At 46.9% G+C, this 19,820-nt stretch overlaps 1 protein-coding gene across 9 annotated transcripts in view; it reads left to right on the top strand.

Annotated features, from left to right (window-relative positions):
• The window catches only part of TENM4 (teneurin transmembrane protein 4), a 788,202-nt gene that overhangs the window by 530,648 nt on the left and 237,734 nt on the right, over positions 1-19,820 (top strand). For all 9 annotated transcript variants that reach the window (XM_047426739.1, XM_047426737.1, XM_047426736.1 and 6 more), the window contains 2 exons: positions 6,860-7,115; positions 19,047-19,145. In XM_047426739.1, coding sequence (XP_047282695.1) covers positions 6,860-7,115; positions 19,047-19,145 — 355 coding nt within the window. The remainder of the gene's footprint in view (positions 1-6,859; positions 7,116-19,046; positions 19,146-19,820) is intronic.

Genomic DNA, 19,820 nt, shown 5'->3' with positions numbered 1-19,820 from the left:
TTAATGGAAGCCAAATAACTCTTTCTGTTGGCATTCTCAGGCAGCTGGAGTTTTTGTTTTATGATAACTAAATACCATCATCTTTCATATCTGACAATCTTTAGGACCCAATTAATGACTGCAGTGTATGCTTGGGTCATCATTAGCTCCGTAGCAAGGAGACCTTCAGGCACCTGTCTGCCATTTGCAGGGCTGGATGTGGGCACTCAGCCTGGCACCCTTTCTTGGAGCCAGAGCTGTCCTTAGATCACAGGGCTATTGACATGATTGAGTTCCTTGCCTGAGCCAAAGCTCTGGAAGTTTATGGCTTTTTCTCATGAATGTGATCTTATAAAAGAATAGTGGTAGACTCCACTGGAATCTTTCCACGAGGGAGGCACCCTGCCATCAGTCTAGGGGGTTCTTATAGCCTGTCCCGGCCTGGTTCATCCTCCACGTGGCCACCAGAAATCTTCCTCACATACTAATGTGACCCCCCACCCTCTGGATAAAGGCCAAGGTCTTTAGCCTGGCACCTCCAGGAAGTGACCACCTGGGCCTGCCCCAGTGTCTCTACCTCACCCGCAGCCACTGTTTTCACATAGCCATTTCACTCTAGTTATAAAACTGTCCCCAGCTGGCCTTGCTTCTGAACCCTTGCACATGCATTATCTTCTGCCTAGAATGCCCCTCAGACATAGGTCTCATGTCACTTCTCAGAAACCTTTCCTGAGCCTGACAGTCAGTCTGGCAGCTGCCCTCCATACCTGTGGTGCTCCCTGGGGCTGTGGCGTATGCCGATAAGAATTATTGTGGTCGACACTTGGAAAGTGCTCAGTATGTGGCAGGCCTTGATGTAAGCACCTTACCTGCATTCACTCATTGAATGCACACAAAAAAGAATGTTTAACAGTAGGGTCTATGGAGGCAGACTGCCTGAGTTCAAATTCTGGCTCCACCAATTAAAGGTTTCGAAATCCTGGGCAAATTGCTTAGCCTTTATGTGTCAGTTTCCTCATTTACAAAACTGGGAGTAATAACAGTACCTTCTTTACAGAGCTGTTATAAGGATTAAATAATCAAAGTACTTAGAAAGTATCCGGCAAGTAGTAAATACTCAGTAAATGTTAACTAATGTATGCGATGATGATGCTGATGTGTAATTTTATCATCACCAGTTTGTGTAGTATATATCTGTTTGTATATCCATTTTCTTTACTAGACTATGAGCATCTCAAAGTCAAGGACCATATTTGTTTTATTTCTCAATCTCTATGTATTCAACCTACGGTAGTCCATATTCTTTCTCTTCCTTTTATTGCCATTACTATTATATATACATTTTATAGATGAATGACTAGAGGCTCATAGAGGTGAATGTAGCCAGTAGGAGACAGAATTAAGGTCTAGGTCTGTGAGATCCCCGAGCTCTGCTCTTGTATCTTTGCCAGCTGTCCTCCCAACCACTGACTACTTGTCAAGGATGAGGCTTATCCCCATCTTTTAATCCATCAAGTCCCTGCATACAACAAGGGGCTGTTTAATATTCCTGGCTGATTAACACTAGGGCCTTCTCCTTATGGCACACCTTCAACCCAGGGCAGAGAGGTATGGATTTGGGTAGCAGCCCCTGCCTGGTTTGCTCTGAGATGCTAGTCTAATGCAGAAAGGAGCTTTCATCTTTGAATACATGGTGAGCCCATGTGTCTGGTTTTATTCTGAGTGTCAGGGCTACAGCCATTCTCATCAGTTTCTGAACTGCAAGTTCAGCTACAGGCACCCTCCTGCGACTAGAGCTCCTAGGAGCCAGCAGGTTGTCCAGAGTGGGATTCAGTGTAATAAAATAGTATCACACTTCTGTTAGATATGTTCTGCTCTTTTTCTCTCAAGGTTTTTTGCTTTGGAACCCCTGTTGTAAACGCTGAAGAGTGATCACCATGGTGATGATTCAGGGCTTTGCGATTTATTCATTCAACATGACTTTATTGTAATTGTGGAATTAATAGTTACCATTTTTCAGAATTCCTATATTCCAAGCATGGTGCTAAGTACTCACATACATTATCTCTTTTAATTCTCATAACAATCCTATAAGGTGGGCGTTATTTCCATTTAGTGATAAGAAAACTAAAGCTCCAGAGAAAGTAAGTGACTTGATGACAGTCACACAGCTTCTAAGTGGCAGAGCCAAAACTTGAACTCAGGGCTCTCTGACACCAAAGCCGAGTCTCTTTCTCTTACATACGGCTCTGCCCAGCATTGTAAAGGAGCCTCACTATGATCTTGGTTCAGGGAGGTGCAGCCAGGAGGTTTCGGTGTTCAGGATTTCTGTGCATCTAAAATGAAAACTGCCTAACGTGTTGGAGGACACTAGTAACTGCAAATATATTTAAGAACTTGTAGGAAGCAAAGAAACTTCCTGGAAAACCAGGCTTGCAAAACTCAGGTAAGCAAGTGACCTTTACTGGCAGTGGTGTGCACAAATAGCAGTAAAATGACTCACATTTGGGCTTGATTCACAGATATACTTGGTAGCTATATCTGTAAGAAGAGGGTATAAATTGGAATTTCCATCACAGCTTTGCAAGTGTACCAATGTGTACTCCCAGGTAGCGTGAGAGAAGCAACTGCTTGTGCAGGCAAAAAGCCCAACTACCTGAGTTGTTGTTCTTTCCCCGACATTCTGTAAATATTTACTGAGGGCCTACCATGCATCAGGCACAGCTCTGTGCGGACGCTGGGGATATGGAAAGAAATGACACATGGGTCTTTCCCTCAGGGCTTAGTAGGAGTTGATGGTACCCATGGCTCTTCATCCTCCAGAAAGTGGTGAAGTAGGAAAGTGTGCCCTTTCACACACACACTGACCAAGGACCGAAGAGAAGTGAGTTGTTGCAGGTCACCCAGCCAGTAAATAGAAACTATAAGAGAGTTCTCTCTTAGGCCATGTTTATCTTGTTCACTGTTTTATTCCCAATACCTAGTGTACAATACTTGGCACAGAATAGGCATTCAATAAATGCTGAATGGGTGAACTGATTCTGAGATTCCCTCCAAAGACGAGGGTGCATATTTGTCGGGGGATAAAAGAAGTCTCCTCTGTAGCCTCTCACCTCTGTCTTCCCTCCTGGCCATAGGAGCAAAAAAAAAAAAAAAAAAGGAGTCCATTCAGACCAGAGGAAACATTTGCTCTTTGGGAAGTTAATGTTTCTTTCTGGGGTTTGTGAGTGAGGTTTCCATTGCTGAGCTCCCAAATACAGAGCTTTTCCTTTGGGAACCCAGGAAACATCAAGGTCCCCTTTCTTAACATTCTCAAGCTAGAAAGGGTGAGGGAAGGGAAATAAAGGGCCTAGCTCAAGCCTCTGCAACTCTGGCTCCAGGCAAATAAGTGAAGGCCTGCATAGACCCATGGTCTAGCAGGCCCAGAGTGGTCTACTATGATTTTTTGCACACAAATTGCCCCACATGAACCTCACTTGCTTGCACTGACAGCTCAGGCCATTCACATGGCTATTCATTCAATAAACTTAATTGAGCATCTGCTCAGTTCTAGGCTCTGTGTTCACCCAGCACAGAGAAGAGAAGATAGGGACTTTCACACCTCCCAGAGGAGGCAACATGTGGACATCAGTATGCATGCTCTTGGGGAGGAAATGAAAATGAGAGGTCTGGGTTGCCTGCTGTCAGCATTCAAGAGGAAAAGGACAGATCAAGGAAGTCTTTCTGGACGGGGAGGCAGTTGAGCTGAGAGCTCAAAAGATAGAAAGGATTTGGCCCAGAACATTCCTTGTCCCCATAGAAAACATTCCTTGTCCCCATAGGAGAATTTCCTTTTAGAAGTTAGTTTTTAGACCTGGACCAGTGATCTTACTTAAAATTTCATCATTGCAGGACTTTTGACAGTTCTCCTGAACATTTATCAAGCCAGAGCCTGGTGTCCCCATTAGTCACAAAGCAAATGTCTGTAGGCTTGCCTGCCTCAGACATCAGATGCTACTGTCTTCACTGAGGACCTTTTTCCTGCATTTAGCCATGGACAGACATTCCAGGAGGTGTTTAAGTTTTATGCAAAGGCACCATGGTTTGGTAGACTGAATTTGGCTTTTGTGTTTATGAGAACTGACTAGTTTTGTAAGCCTCAGCGTCCTCATCTGTAAAATGGGAATACAAATACTGCCCCCGAAGGGTTGTTGTGAGCATTAGAAACGTTAAGGGTTTGAAAGCACACATTACAGATGCTCCAATACATAGCAGAAACTATATCAATTAAGTAAAATGCCATGAGGTTGACTCCTAGGACCAGAGCAGGAGCAAGGACTGGGTCACACTTCTCTGCTGGCCTCTTGATAACCATTGGACAGTAGTGGTTCAGCCACTGCCTCCCACTGCTCTGGTGAACTACTGCCAGCAGCCTGAAAGGCCAAGGCTGGGAAGAACATTCAGTCAGCCCAAGAGGCTGCTTCTGCTGCTGGCTTCTGTCCCAGGCTCTGTCTGTCTCCACCGAAGTGCCACCTGAGGACAGCTGGACAAAACAAATGACCCTGCACATTCTCACCTTCTTTCTCGTCCAATACTCCCTGTTCTCTGAGTGGGACACCACTCTGCCTGGACAAGTTGTATTCGCCTGCCAGGTTCTCTCCCTTCCCAGCAAGGAACATCCTTGCTAGTTCCCTTCTGGTCCAGCACTACAGAACTGCATATCTTCAGGGAGTACCATTCACATTCTGTCACCTTCCTGGGGACCCTCCTTGTGGGAGTTGAGGTTTTGGCCATTCAGATGGTCTCAGTACATCTCCTGGCCTCGGAGGAAAAATGTGGCTGGAGTGGAGGATGCATGATGGAGCTGATGGGAGAAGAGGCTGGAAGACATGGATCGGATTCCGGAGGGTTTTGTATTAATAAGCCAGGTGTGGGCTTTATGCCGAAAGTAGCAGCTTGTAATAAGGAAGTGATCCACTTAGAGGGGTTCCTGTTTCTTTCTCCCTTCCACCCCTAACTCCCCTTTCCCGAATTCCCCACCAGATTGGCTTTGTACCTCTTTGGCATAAAAGGTTGATTTACTCAAAAAGCAGAGTGATGCATCTTACACTAAAAAAATCCATAACACTAATGGTGCTTCATACTTGACTGTGCTTGATGATTTCCAAAAAGCCTTCTCCCTATCCAAGGAAGAGCACAGCTTTTGGAATATTGCTGTTCTTTCTGATTCTTAGTCTCCTCTATAAAATACAGAATTCTCATGAGGAACAAAGGAAGCAGAATACTTCAGAAATATTTATTTCCTACCAATTGCCTCATTTGATCTCACAGTAGCCCTGTGATCCCCCAAATAAACTATTTCCCCTATTTTACAGATGAGAAAACTGAGGCTTAAAGAGGTTAAATGACTTGTCCATGCCCATGTGGTTAATAAGTGGTAGAATCTAGGTTAGAATCTAATTTCTTGGCCTCTTCACCACCCGCATAATATCATCTGCTTTGAAAGACTAGGCTTTCTGTGAGCATAGCTTAGATGGATGGTGAAGATTTACCTCCACAACTTGCCTCATTTGTGGTATCACCAGAAATTGTATTTGTTTTCTTTCTTTGCCAATAACACCTACTTAGCCACAAACCCTTGGGCACTTTACTTACCTGCTCCAAGTCTACGTTTTTCATCTATAAATTGGTGATGATACCTGGTGTTCTGAATAATTAAAGGGAATAAATAAAGTATCTCAATGTTCTCATCTGTAAACTGGGGATAAAAGCAGTCCCTACTCTGCAGTGGTTGTGAGAATTAGCTGAATTTACACTTGTAGAAGGCTCAGAACGGGACTCTGGCACATTCGATGTGCTCAGTAAATGTTGAGTGGTTTTTAACCACCGGACCCCAGCATGGCTCACTTTATTCAAAAGTCATCTTTCTCGTTACGTGGCCACCCTATCTAAAATTTCACCACTGCCCTTACATACACAGGCCACAGTCCCCTTCCTGGCTGTATGTGCTCTTAGATTTATCACCATCTCAGTAAACTCTATGTTTTACTTTTTTTTTTTTTTTTGAGACAGAGTCTTGCTCTGTAGCTCAGGCTGGAGTGCAGTGGCGCAATCTCAGCTCACTGCAAGCTCCGCCTCCCAGGTTCACGCCATTCTCCTGCCCCAGCCTCCTGAGCAGCTGGGACTACAGGCGCCCGCCACCACGCCCGGCTAATTTTTTGTATTTTTAGTAGAGACAGGGTTTCACCATGTTAGCCAGGATGGTCTCGATCTCCTGACCTTGTGATCCGCCCACCTCGGCCTCCCAAAGTGCTGGGATTACAGGCTTGAGCCACCGCGACCGGCCACGTTTTACTTTTAAAAACTTGGTTTGTTTCGTTTACTGTGTACCATCATATATAATCAGCGGTTCTAGAATTTTAGCATACATCAGAGTCACTTGGAGGGTTTGTAAAATCAGTTTCCTGGGCCCTATCAGGGTTCATGATTCAGTCAGCCTGGGGCAGGGCTTATTTTCATCTCTAACAAGTTCCCAGACGATGCTGAAGCTGCTGGTCCCTGGCCACACTTTAAAAACCACGTCCTAAAAGCATGAAACAATGTGAAGTTGCTGAGATGGGTAACTAGTCTTTTTTATGTTGTTTATTGTTTCACTCCCCTGCTAGAATTTAAGCTCAGTGGGGACGGGAATTTTTGTCTGTTTAGTTGGTTAAGGTATCCCTAGCACCTAGAATGGTAGGTGCTCAATAAACAACTGTCGTGTAATTACTGATTGACTGCATCAATATGTATAATCTGCCGGCTCCCTCTTCTGTGGTCTTGCTCAGACCTCCGTGGCTGCTTTTCCAGCCGAGGGGCAGCACCAAGCTCACCGCCGCTGACCGCCATGTTTGTGCCCTAGATCATCCGGGCGGCCTGCAGAACCACGCGCGGCTCCGGACGCCGCCGCCGCCGCTCTCGCACGCCCACACCCCCAACCAGCACCACGCGGCCTCCATTAACTCCCTGAACCGGGGCAACTTCACGCCGAGGAGCAACCCCAGCCCGGCCCCCACGGACCACTCGCTCTCCGGAGAGCCCCCTGCCGGCGGCGCCCAGGAGCCTGCCCACGCCCAGGAGAACTGGCTGCTCAACAGCAACATCCCCCTGGAGACCAGGTGCGCGGCCGGTAGGGAGGGTGAGGCTGAGGAGGGTGGGCACCCGGGGCCCGGACCAAGGTCTTTGGCTGGCGGGGCCATTCAGTGTCCCCAGATAACGCCGGCCGGAGGAGCTGGGGTTGGGTGCACGGTTTAGGGATGCGGTTCCCTGACTGCCAGCATGGGCTTTGGAACCCGAGAGACCCAAGGTCCAGTGCTAGCCTGCTGATTACCAAAGGTGTGACCTTGGCCAAGTTGCTAGACACCCCCCGCACCAACCCCTTGCCTCTCTTCCCTTATCTACACAATGGCCATGATGTTTGCGGGACGGAACTGTTAAAGGAGATGAGAGCTAATGTGTGAACGAGGCTTTCACAGATGTGTGACCAACAGCAGGCTCTCAGTCTGGTTTGGCTCGGGCCCTCATCTTTGCCTTTCCCTACATGATTCTACCACCCAATGCCTAGTGTCAGACCTGCCTGGCCTGGCGTCGGCACTCAGCTATGTCAGTCTCCCCACCTCTCCTCCTTCCCTGCTGTGCTACCACCTTTATGCCCAAAGCCCTAATAACCCCTAGCATGTATACATCAGCTTTGGGTTACAAGGGCTTTCCTGTGTGTGACATTATGTAATCCTCATACCTCTATGAAGTGGGTATTAGGATGATAATCCCCATTTGGGAATTTGGAAGCTGAGAATCAGAGCGGGTCCATCACTAGCTCACTTCACACAGGCGACTGAGGCACAGCTGAAACTTGAACTCAGGTTGCCTGACTCCCTGTCCAGTGCTGCTTCACCTACACCCCAGCCACCTTCTCTTCGTCTCTGCTGGCCGGGATCCCTCTGCCCTGTTCCTTCTTCCAGCTTTGTTGGTCAGTGATTTGTCAGCTCAGGGACATCAGTCTCCTTGAGTTCTGTAGCTGTTCTCCTTCCCTCTGCCTACACACTGTTTTTCCAAAATGAAGTTTGTTTATGATTTTAAAAACCATACAAGCTCACCGGAGAAAATGCAGAAAACTATGAAGACAAAAATTAAGATTTACCCATAATCCTACCACTCTGAGATAAGCGCTGTTGACTTTGGGAGCATAGCCTTTCCCTTTCTCTAAACTGTAGATGAAGTGTCCTAGGCTGGCAAAACTGGAACCACTTTATCTTCTACCCTACTTCCTAAAGTAGTGGGAAACGTAGATTTTATTTCCCCAAACTCCTGTTCTTTATCTGTGAAGAGAACAAAGGTCATCCCACAGTTAAGGAAGTAAAATTAACCTGCATGTGAAAAGTGTGGACATGTGACTGCCTAGCACACAGCTATGGTAATGGCACATCAAGCTTGTGGAGGCCAGTAAGAGAAAATGAACATTGTTTGTACCACTTTACTCCTGTAGAATTGTTTTTCCGAAAGCAAAATTCTTAGAGATGCAGCCCAAGCAGCTTCCCCGCTCCCGCCTCCAGTCTCTTAATTTATATTATTTCTGTTGGCATCCTTTAAAATCGTGTGTGATTTTTCCCTGTGTGCCTCATCAGTAACAGAGTAGGATAATTGTGTGTCAGCCTGCCCAGGGTAGCTTAATCAGATCTCCATTATTTCCAATGTGCTCATTGAAAGACCGAACATGACTGGAAGAAGCCAGCCACTAATCGATGGTTCTGATGCTCTGCATGGACCACAGTCACCACTCCCTCTGCTTGGATGTTCATCTTTCCCACTTAGGATCAAGTTAGAACTTCCTATTCTGAGTCTCCAGGTTTTTCAAGGAAAGGAAGATAGAGGATGAGCAGCAAGGCGGTTTTCCTAATGGTTAGTGTGAGTTGTAAAGGTGGTCCCAGCTCACGTCTCCTGTCTTTCTGTGCTCACCTGCCTTTCTGATGTTCTATCTTCCCACATCCATTGCTCAAACACATGCAGCTTTTTCTTTTTATTTATACTTTATTACTCAAATAAGAAATGTTCATTGTAAAACAGCTAGACAATGAAATAAGCAAGAAGAAAAGAAAATCATTTTTATTTGTCACCAAAAGTAACCATTGTTAACATGTAGGTATATACTCACATAACACCATTTTATGTACATCTATATACATATATAACATTATTTGTGATATATATCATATATATTTAATATTCAGTGTATGTATATGCATGTATGTGCATGTACATGTATTTCCCCCAATGCGAGGCCCTTTCATGCCTTTTCACAGAGTCTTGCAGAGCTCTGCCAGAGTCGCTCACCTTCTCACTTCGTGGTCTATCCAGTCCTACTTATTCTTGAAGCCCCGGTTGAAATGTTTGAGGAAGTCTTCCTCTGTGACCCCAGAGTCCTGTCCCTCCAAGGATGACCTAAAGCCGGAAAAGGTGCTTAATTCAGTGAATACACAATCAGAATTCTAGATCTTGATGCTGACCTTAACTGGTTGAAGGCACAAAACTAACAAGGCACGGTTTAGGAGGGATCAGCATCAAGTCTGGCAGACTGAATCACAAGCTGACCACCTTGGCAAGGTGGACAGAATATGGCCTTCAAAGTCAGAGGGACCTTCATACCTGCCTTGGCTTTAACGCTTACTAGCTGGCCAAGTTCCCTAACATCCCTGAACCTTGATTTCCTCATCTATAAATTGGGATAAGAATTCGTGCCTCTCAAAGAGGTTGGGAGGAAGTAAATGTGATATATAAGAAGCACACAGCACAGTGCCTAGCATTTAGAAAACACACTCTAAAAGCTATTTCCCATTTTTTTCATATACATCTTCTCTCCATATCCACCCTGTGGATAAAAATGTCATTCAAAAAGAGTTTCTTGAGCTCCTACTCGCCCCAAAGGAGTTGAGGGGAAATAGTAGGTTCTACCTCTTCTCTACTTCAGAGAAGTAAGTTTGGCCTTATGTTCTGAGGGTACAAGTGATGGCCCATTCACCATAGTGAGTTTGAAGCACCGGTTTTAGGATCAGACATACCCTATCCTCAGAAACCCCACCCTAGTGCTCACTAGCTATGGACCAAGACCTTCAATTTCATCTCTAAAATGGAGAAAATAAAAGTCACTTTCTGCTGTGATTATCTATTGCTGCACAACAAACAAATGACTCCAAAATTTAGTGGCTTTGGAAACATCCAGTTGATTACACTTCACAGTGTGAGTCAAGAGTTTAGGAAGAGCTCAGCTAGGCTATTCATCCACTCCACATCGCGTTGACAGGGGTCCACTGGTAGTATTCAGCTGGCAACTGGACTCATTTGAAGGATCCAAGATGACTTCACTAACATAATTGACATCTTGTGGGGGGATGGCTGGAAAGCTGGTCTTGGCAGTACCCTTCTGTCTCAGTCCATTTAGTGTTGCTATAAAGGAATGCCTGAGGGTGGGTAATTTATAAAGAAAAAGGATTTATTTGGCTTACAGTTCTGCAGACTTTACAAGAAATATGACACAAGCATCTGCTTCTGGTGAGAGCCTCAGGCTGCTTCCACTCATGGCAGAAAGTAAAGGGGAGCCAGTATGTGCAGAGATCACATGGCAACAGAGAGAGGGGTGGGGAGGTGCCAGGCTCTTTTTAACAACCAGCTCTGGAAGGAACTAATAAAAGTGAGAACTTGATCTCCTCCCAAGGAGGGCTTTAATCTACTCATGCAGGATCCACCCTCGTGACCGAAACGCCTCCCATTAGGCCCCACCTCTAACATTGGGTATCAAATTTTCTTTCTTTTTTCTTTTTCCCCCCCCCCCCGCTTTTTGAGACAGAGTGCAGTGGCATGATCCTGACACGCTGCAGCCTCAACCTCCCAGACTCAAGCAGTCCTTCCACCTTAGCCTCCCAAGTAGCTGGGACTACAGGCATGTGCCACCCCCATGCCCAGCTGATTTTGTTTATTTTTTGTAGAGATCAGGATGGTCTTGAACTCCTGGGCACAAGCAATCCTCCTGCCTCGGCCTCCCAAAGTGCTGGTTCTACAGGTGTGAGTTACCGTGCCCAGCTGGGTATTAAATTTTAACATGAGCTTTGGGGGGACAAACATCCAAACTATAGCATCCTCTCCCTCTAAGGGCCTCTCCAAATAGGCTTCCTAGCAGGGTAATTGTGCTTCATACTCAGTGGCTTGCGGCTCCAAGGCACTGAGACAGGAGCTATTGATGCTTTTAAGGCTTGGCCTGAAAATGCTATAGTGTCATTTCCTCCATATTCTGTTAGTCAAAGCAGTCATAAGCTGGCCAGCTTCAAGAGGAGGAGAAACAGACCCCACTTCTCAGTGGAAAAAGTGTCCAAGAATTTGTGGCCATCTTTAATCCACCACACCACCTCATAAGGCTGTTGTAACAAACATATTAAGATAATGTCTGAAAATGTCTTAGCATATAGTAAATGCTCAACTACTTATTATGTAGTGTTTTATTATTCAATAAATATTCACTGAGTGTCTACTATGTGTCTACCAGGTAAGACATTTCAGAGAACAGACTCCTATAATAGAATAAGTGCTTTGATAGAGAAAAGTACAGGAAATAATGCTACTTTTTAATTGCCCTGAGATCCCCAGCACACAACACAGGGCTTCCCACAACATGGTAGCTGTTTGATAATTATTAACACAGGTGAAATAAATGAATGAATATGTATACTTAACTGAGACTTGAGTGGGGAGAAAGGAAGGCTTCCTGGAAGACCTGGTACAGCATGACTGAGAAGAGCAAGCAGGAGTCTCCCAGGCAGAGGAGGGGCAGAAAGGAGGGCCTGAGAGGGCACAGTCTGAGCAGAGGCCTAGCGGCCCAACAGAGCAGGTTGGGCCAGTCCCCACCAGAATGGGAGCCTAAACAGCTTTTGCCAGTCCCCACCAGAATGGGAGCCTCTTGATATCAGAGAAATAGTCACAGGCCCTTCCCTGATTGTCAAACTCAGTCTGTATTGAGAGTCTAGAATTAATGGCTGAATAAATACTATAACAGCTGGTAGAATGACCAAGAGGGATTTAGATTTCATGCTGGCAGAAAAAGAAAGGCTAGCAGGAGGATGAAGAAGAGAGAGGGCTTTGGTAAATGTGCTCCTTTCTCTGCACCTGCCATACTTCTGGCAGTCTCCAATGTTAACTGAGTCCCCCATTGAGGAGCCTGGGCCTACCTGTGCTCCCTTTGAGCTGGGGTAAGATGTTGCTTTAAGCTTCTATAGGTGCATCTGTGATCCATTCTGGAGGGAGCCATATGTTTAGGGTCCCCCAAACCCTGATCCACTTCTTTTGCACTCTGCAGCATCAGACACTTAATTGATTTCCCAGGGACTGTCTGATTAATAACCCATCAGGTTCCTGTTGGGTGAGGGGAAGTCAGAGCAGAAGGCTGCCAGACCTTGGCTCCAGCTCATCTCATCTCAAGCCTGGTAGGGAAGCCTGGGGTCCATTTTGTGGTCACACTGAATTTGGGGAAAAACCCTGCCCACCCTCAGGGATGGGGGCCATCCTGGTGGTCTCCAGACCAGCCCTAGTGTGGTTCCCAGAATGGCACACACAGTGCCTTCTGGCAGGCCAGGTCAGCCCCAGAGCGTTGCAGAGAATTGGGATATACAGTCTTCCTTGTAATTTGGTGATTCAGTCAAAGACATGCAGAAGACACAGCCAACTGTTATTAAGAAGCTCACCGTCTTTTGAGGGAGACAGACCTGTAAATGAATGAGGACAGGTACCATGACTGATGTTGTGACAGAGGGAGTCCTCTGAGCAGAGAAGAGAGCATGGTTCCCTCTGCTTGGGAGCAGCAGTAGAGAGAGCCCTTACTGGGAACGGCCAGGTGCTGTTCTAAGTTCTTGGCACATGTTAACTTCATTCTTCACAGCTATTCCATAAGGTGGGTGTTGGGAGTCCCCAGGCCCCCACCCCCAGGTTTGATGATTTACTAGTGGGACTCACAAGACTCAACACGTAGTTGAGTATAGGTGTTAATACTCACAGCCCTGGTTTATCACAGTGAAAGGCAGAAAAGCAGAATCAGCAAAGGGAAAAGAAGCCTGGGGTAGACTCTGGGGCAAACCAGGCACAAGGTTCTGGGGTCCTCTCTCAGTGGAGTCACACAGGACGCACTTCATTCCCCCAGCAACAGGTTGTGACAACGTGTGAAATGTTGCCAATCAGGGAGGCTCATTAAAGCCTGAGCTCCAGGGTTTTTACTGGGGGTGCTCATGTCGGCACCCCCTGCCCGGCAAGTACCTGGATTCCAGACTCCCCAAAGGAAAGCAGTTATTCATCATAATTGTTGAGGCACAGTGAGCCAGCCACTCTCGTCAGTTAATGGTGGCAACTCTCCTGAAACCTGAGTTCCCAGATGCCAGCCCAGGGCCACTGTTATAAGAAGGCATTGCAAAGGATAGCAGTCAGGGCTGCTGTCTTCACTCTTCTGCGCATGTAGGTAGTCATATTCTCATCCCCATATTAGAGATGAAGAATCTGAAGCACAGACAAGTTAAGTAACTTGCCTCAGGTCCCACAGCCAGTAAGTGGCAGAACCAGGGTCCATCCCCAGGCTGGCTGGCTCCAGGGCCCACACACCTAACCACTATGCAGTGCCGTCTTCCTGATTGTTCAAAATAGCTTCTCCAGGCATAAATTGGTAGGAGTTTGCAGGGGAGAAAGGAATTTTTAGCTGAGAGATAGGCACAGAGCCAGGAGAGAGCTTGGCATTTTGGAGAGATGGCAAGTAGTTGGCTCAAGCGGGAGCACAGGGAGTCTCTTGAGGATGAGATTAAATGGAGATCAGCAATGGAGGATCTTGGGCTACATGAAAAGGAGGTTGTACTTTTCCCTGTGGGCCTGGAGGCTGGGGTGGTAGACATGAGGGTGAATAGCTAGCAAGAGCTTTTAAATCAGAAGGTGCCATTATGGGATTGGCCTTTTAGAAGGATGACCGTGGCTTGGAAGACCTGGTGCCTGGTTCATTTTTTTTTCCATTCATTTGTTCAGCTGCCAGCCCCATCACTAACTCTGTGTGGTCTTGGCTGAGTCACTAACCCCCTGCACACCTGGAGGTCTCAGCTACAGAATATGGGGTGTGATCCCTGCCTGTCCTGCCCCAGTAGGTAGTTGTGAGAATCAGAGGCAATTGTGGCTGTCCCGTGGCTTTGTGGGTGGAAACACGGCCCAGGACAGCGGGCTCACTGTGAGAGGGTGAACCGTTGATCAGGGCGGTCCTGAGGAACTACTGGCCTTTGCAGCTTCCTGGCTACTTCCTTCCCAAAAGCCCTTTGCTCTGCCCTTGAGAGGTGAGCTCAGCCTGCCTTAAGTCAGACACATGGGACTGGGAGCCCCTCCTACAGGCAGTTCAGGGGCTAGTCCAAGGCCTCCCCACATGCTTAGAGGGAACCAGTCTATCCCCTCTTTAAGAACAGCCCACCACTTAGCTGAAGGTTCCTCTCCAAGTACTCAGGAACCTCTTTCCTGAGAGGCAGCTCAGGGCTGTGAGGTCAGAGAGATCTGGTTTAAATCCCATCTTCACCTAATTTTTCCTGTATGCTGGGCACTTAACCTTTCTGGGCCTTAGTTTCCATATCTGTAAAATGAGGTAATAGCACCCACCAGTGTGAGGGTCAAGTGAATCAGGTGCCCACACTTGAGCTCTCAGCAGCAGTGAGCAGGAGACCCTGCGTGACTATGACCCAAGGTGGGCTCTGCAGCTTAGGGTCCCCATCAAGAAAGGTGGGCATTTGTTTCTCAGAAGAACTAGACACCTAGAGTTTTGGGGAGTGGGTGGATAGGAGATTTGAGGGGAGGTTCCTTTAACTGGAAGTCAGGGTGCCTGGGTTTTAGTTTCAGCTCTGCCACTGACTTGCTATGGTATGGGTATGAGGGCAGGGCACATGTCTCTCTGGGCCTCAGTTTCCTCATCAATCAAATGACACCAAGTAATTTGACCCAGAACTAAGTTTAAAAGTACAGAACAAGACTATTTCGTTTTTTCTTTTTTTTTTTTTTGGAGACGGAGTCTCACTCTGTCGCCCAGGCTGGAATGCAGTGGCATAATCGCCGGCTCACTGCAACCTCTGCCTCCTGGGTCCAAGCGATTCTCCTGCCTCAGCCTCCTGAGTAGCTGGGGTTACAGGCACCCGCCACCGTGCCTAGCTAATTTTCTTGTAAGAGACAGGGTTTCACCGTGTTAGCCAGGATGGTCTCGATCTCCTGACCTCATGATCCACCTGCCTTGGCCTCCCAAAGTGCTGGGATTACAGGCGTGAGCCACAACGCCCAGCAGAACAAGACTATTTCAAGGCGGTAGTAGCATTCTGAATAGCCAGAATTGTCTTCTTTTTTTTTTTTTTTTTTTTTTTTTTTTAAGGCCGAGTCTCGTTGGACCGGACTGGAGTGCAGAGGCTTATGGCAGCCTCAGCCTCCCCGGGTTCAGGTGATCCTCCCACCTCAGCCTCCCCAGTAGCTGGTACTACAGGCACGTGGCACCATGCCTGGCTAGTTTTTGAATTTTTTTCTAGAGATGGGATTTTGCCATGTTGCCCAGGCTGGCGTCAAACTCCTGCACTCAAGCCATCCACCTGCCTCAGCCTCCCAAAGTGCTGGGATTACAAGTGTGAGCCACTGCACCTGGCCAATAGCCAACATTTTCAGCAAGTGCTCATGTCTCTCCAAATTCCAGAGAGATCTAAATAATTAATATGCACATGAGCATGAGTGTGGAAGCTCTTTCAGGAGACTGGGGCACCCTCTTACTCTAGAAATCCTTTACTCTGTTGCATCACCTCTTCCCCTCTCCTAACAGATCTGTACTTTTAGAAGATAATTGTCCAGTCTCTCTTTTTTTAAAAATAACTGTTTCTTTTTAAATTGTAAAAGTTAAAATCAGAATCACTGTTTTTCCAGTCACTTGAAAATCCTTACTGCTAACATTTTGATCTTTATCCTTTATGTCTTTTTCTCTGAATGTATTTTTTTGTTTATTTCTGATGGTTTTAAGGTATAAATTTGACTCTGTATCTTAAAATGGGATCTGAGCCTTCTGACTCAAGCCAGACTCCCAGGTCTTCTAGGGAGCATGCCATGCAGCCAGCCTCAGGTCCCGGGGGGCAGCAGGAGTTCTTCCTTGGACCTGCTCATGCTGTAGAGAGAGTGGACAGTTCCCTCCTGAAATGCAGGGATGGAGGAAACAATCAGAATGCCTTCTGCTGCCATCTTCAATGAAGCACTGACTATGTGCCTGCTGTATGCCGGGCATGCTTCCCTTTGTGTATCCTGAATTCAGCAGTATTCAGCACATATTTATTGAGTGCCTGCTACCATGTACCACATATTCCTCTAGACTCTGGGCACATAGCAGTGAACAAGACAGATAAGACTTCTGCCTTGTGGAACTTAAAATGCATTAGGAAAAAGCACAATAATCAGATAAGCATATATATATTGGATATGTGTGTGTGTGTTTATCACTTCCTAATCACTTCCTGGCCCCTTGCTCCGGTATTGCTTTATTTTTCATCAGAAAGAGAGAGAGAGAAAGAGAGGAGTGTGTGTGTGTGTGTGTGTATGTGAAGTCCTGAAAAATCAGTACAAGGGGCCAGGGAGTGATTGGGAAGAGTGGGCTGGGAGCTATTTTAGTTAGGGTAAGAAGCTAATAGTTGAGGAGGGGAGGAAGGAGGTTATATTCCATGAAGATATTTTCAGGAGGGTTCTGATTCATAAAGATAGTTGAGGGAGGCAGAGGAAAGCCAAGGTTTAGCTTGTTTAAGAAACAGCAAGGAGACCAGTGTACCTGTAGCATAGAAAATGAGGCTTGAGAAGTACTAGAGGCCAGAGCTTATAGGAGCTTGTGGGCCCTGGTAAGGACTATGGTTTATTCTAAAATGCTTATGAAGCCATTGGAGGGTTGAGAGCAGAGAAGTGATATGATCCAAATTACACTTTGGGTTTTGTAAAATGAACAATTATCCCCTTCTGTGGATGCTTAGAGAGATTGGGTCACCTGCCCAGGGCCAGTGAATGATGATTATGGGACCTGAAGCTAGATCTGTCTGGCCTCAGGGCCTGTATGCCTCCCATTGGGCCACCAGGCCTCCCATCAGCAGGGTTATCTGCCTGGTGATGGAAATAGAGCCACTCTGAGGGATGTCCACACCTCTGAAGCTCCTCCCAGGCACTGGGGAAGACTTTAGGGGCTTGCACACCAGCAGAACAGACTGCCACCCAGGCCGCTGGCCCAGACAGTGCTTCACGACTCACCAAAAGAGGAGGTCCCCACCACCACTGCATACTCAGCACTGTACCTGCAAATAGTGTTGCCATATGCTTCCACTGTCCCAAGGGATGTTAACGAAAGGGGATTTCCAGATAGTACTTACAGCCCCTCCTCGTTTGGGTCTTTGAGGCTGACCAGGGGCAGTAGCCACAAAGCTGTGCAGAGAGAGACAGGGTTATAAAGTGGAGAGAGCCTGAGTTCTGGGGTCAGATAACCCCAGGCTCCAGCTTGGCTCTCCACTTGTTTATGATATGGCCTTAGAAAAGTTGCTTCTACAAGCTTTGCTTTGCCAATCTACAAAATAGAGATGACGGTACTGACTTTGTAGGGTTATTGTGAGGAATAAAATTTAAATTAGATAGTTGCAGAGCTTCTGGAACAATAAATAATATGTGGTAGATGTAGGGTAGGTAGTAACTATTATACTTAGCATTAGTACTCCTATAATATTTGTATAGCCCTTAATACTTCTTCCACCATTATCTCAGCCGATCCATATAACAACCTTGTGAGCTCAGTACTGTAATCCCTTTTTACATGAAGAACATAAGATAAAGAAAGGTTAAGGGTTATACCCAAAGTTGCACAGGAAGAGAGTGGCATAAAAGGGTCTTGAATTTGGGAATGCTGGCTCTAAGACCTGGTCGAAGTCAGAAAGAAGGTCCTTGGCAGGGCTGGGTCCAAAGTTGGCTTTCTGCAGTCAGTTCCTTTCTTGGGTGCATGCAACAGGCTGAAGCCACCACTGGATTGTTACAAATGATTCACCACAGAGTCTGAAAGTGAGGTGATAGCTGTCCTGAAAAGATCAGGAGACAGGCTCCAGCCTACTTGAGTGTGAATCATGTCACTCAGCAGACCTGGTTGAGACCAAAAAGGGCAAGTATGTCTGTCTTCATTCTGGGTTAGAAATAGGTAAAGTCACAAAATGCTATGCACTTGGGGAACAAAGAGCATCCTCTTTTGTCTTCCGTGGAGCTCCATCCTTGCTAGCCAGTTATCACCCAGGTCCCTGCACCGCTAAAGGACGATGATCCTCTGACCATGGTCAGCATTAACCTGGGGGCCTGGGAGAAATACAGATCCTCAGGCCCCACCCAACCTGCTGACAGAATCCCTAGGGATGGGCCTCAGCAATGCTCAGCTCTCCAGAAAGTTGGAGAACCATGGCTTTAGAAGACAGTGGCCAAAAATGCTAACTTTTTTTTTTCTTTGGACTAGCCAAATGAGTGTCTCTAGCCACTGTTTAAGCTGATGTAAGCAGCCTCAAGTAGAGAGAGAGAGCACAGGCTTTGGAACCTGAGCTCTAATTCCTGCTTTGAACTTTGCTAGCTGGTGACCTTGGCAAGACCCATTACCTCTCCACATCTCAGTTTCCTCACCTGTAGAATGAGGATTACATTGCCTTCCTCACATAGCCATTTTGAAGATTTGAGAGGCTGGATGTAGCATACCTAGCTCAGTCCCGGACACATGTCAGTCCTCTCCAGTGAGAACTGTGATTTGATGCACACAACTGCCAAACCTTGTTTTTATATAGACAGTATTCTCTCTGGATGCTCTGTGCCAGGTGGACCCCTTGCACATGTGGCTTGCACACTGACCCATTGCCTGGAAACCGTGTCCCGCTGGTCTTACGCACACAGCTGCACCAAACAGCCACTTTGTGTGTTTCTCTACTAGCCCCCTTCATCAATGCATGACTCATTGCTTCATTCATGTCTCCATGTGTGCGTAGAAACCTAGGCAAGCAGCCATTCCTAGGGACATTGCAGGACAACCTCATTGAGATGGACATTCTCGGCGCCTCCCGCCATGATGGGGCTTACAGTGACGGGTAGGTGACATCCCCATTCTCCTCTCTGTGTGTGCTCTCCTTGTGGCTCCTGCACTTGCATGCAGACCCTGAGACCTTTCCCTGGGATCTTCTGGGGGAGGTGATCCATGTGGCATGCTCATCACCAAGTCCGTGTTCAACTTGCAACAGTTTATCCTTTAAATACCCTATCCCCCAGCATATTAACAGCAGTCTTGTTAATATGCAGCTCTTGGCATCTCATTGGCTGCCGTTGCCATTCCAAAACCATCTCACATAGCATTTTTAATGCAGCACAGGCCCTGTATTGTATGGACTCTGGCCCTGAGTGTGTATTCTGTGACCTGAGGCACCTTGTACCCCAATAGGGGTGGGTTTGCCCTAAGGCTTCTGGGGGGTACAGTGCAACCAGCACACTCCATTTCCCAGGCTGTGTGCAAGTCCTCCCATGGCCATGGTTAAAGCCAAGCTGTGGAGGAGCTCCTGACACCTAGTTTGGTCACAACCATGTGCTTTGACCATACCCCGCTGCCCTCATGACTAGGCTGTAGGGTGCAGTTGCCTGTCTGTCCCCCGACACAGCTTTCACCTTGGACTTGGGAGGCAGCAGTCTGGCTTCTGGACAGAGTGCTTTGAAGGCATTTGCTGCCATTGGCTGTGTGACAGCCACTAGGGGACTAATGGCCATGGCATAAC

This window comes from Homo sapiens, chromosome 11 (genome assembly GCF_000001405.40).
Source record: "Homo sapiens chromosome 11, GRCh38.p14 Primary Assembly".
Taxonomy (NCBI): domain Eukaryota; kingdom Metazoa; phylum Chordata; class Mammalia; order Primates; family Hominidae; genus Homo; species Homo sapiens.
The sequence above is the reverse complement of the archived record's forward strand: the minus strand, read 5'-3'. Positions and strand labels throughout refer to the sequence as shown.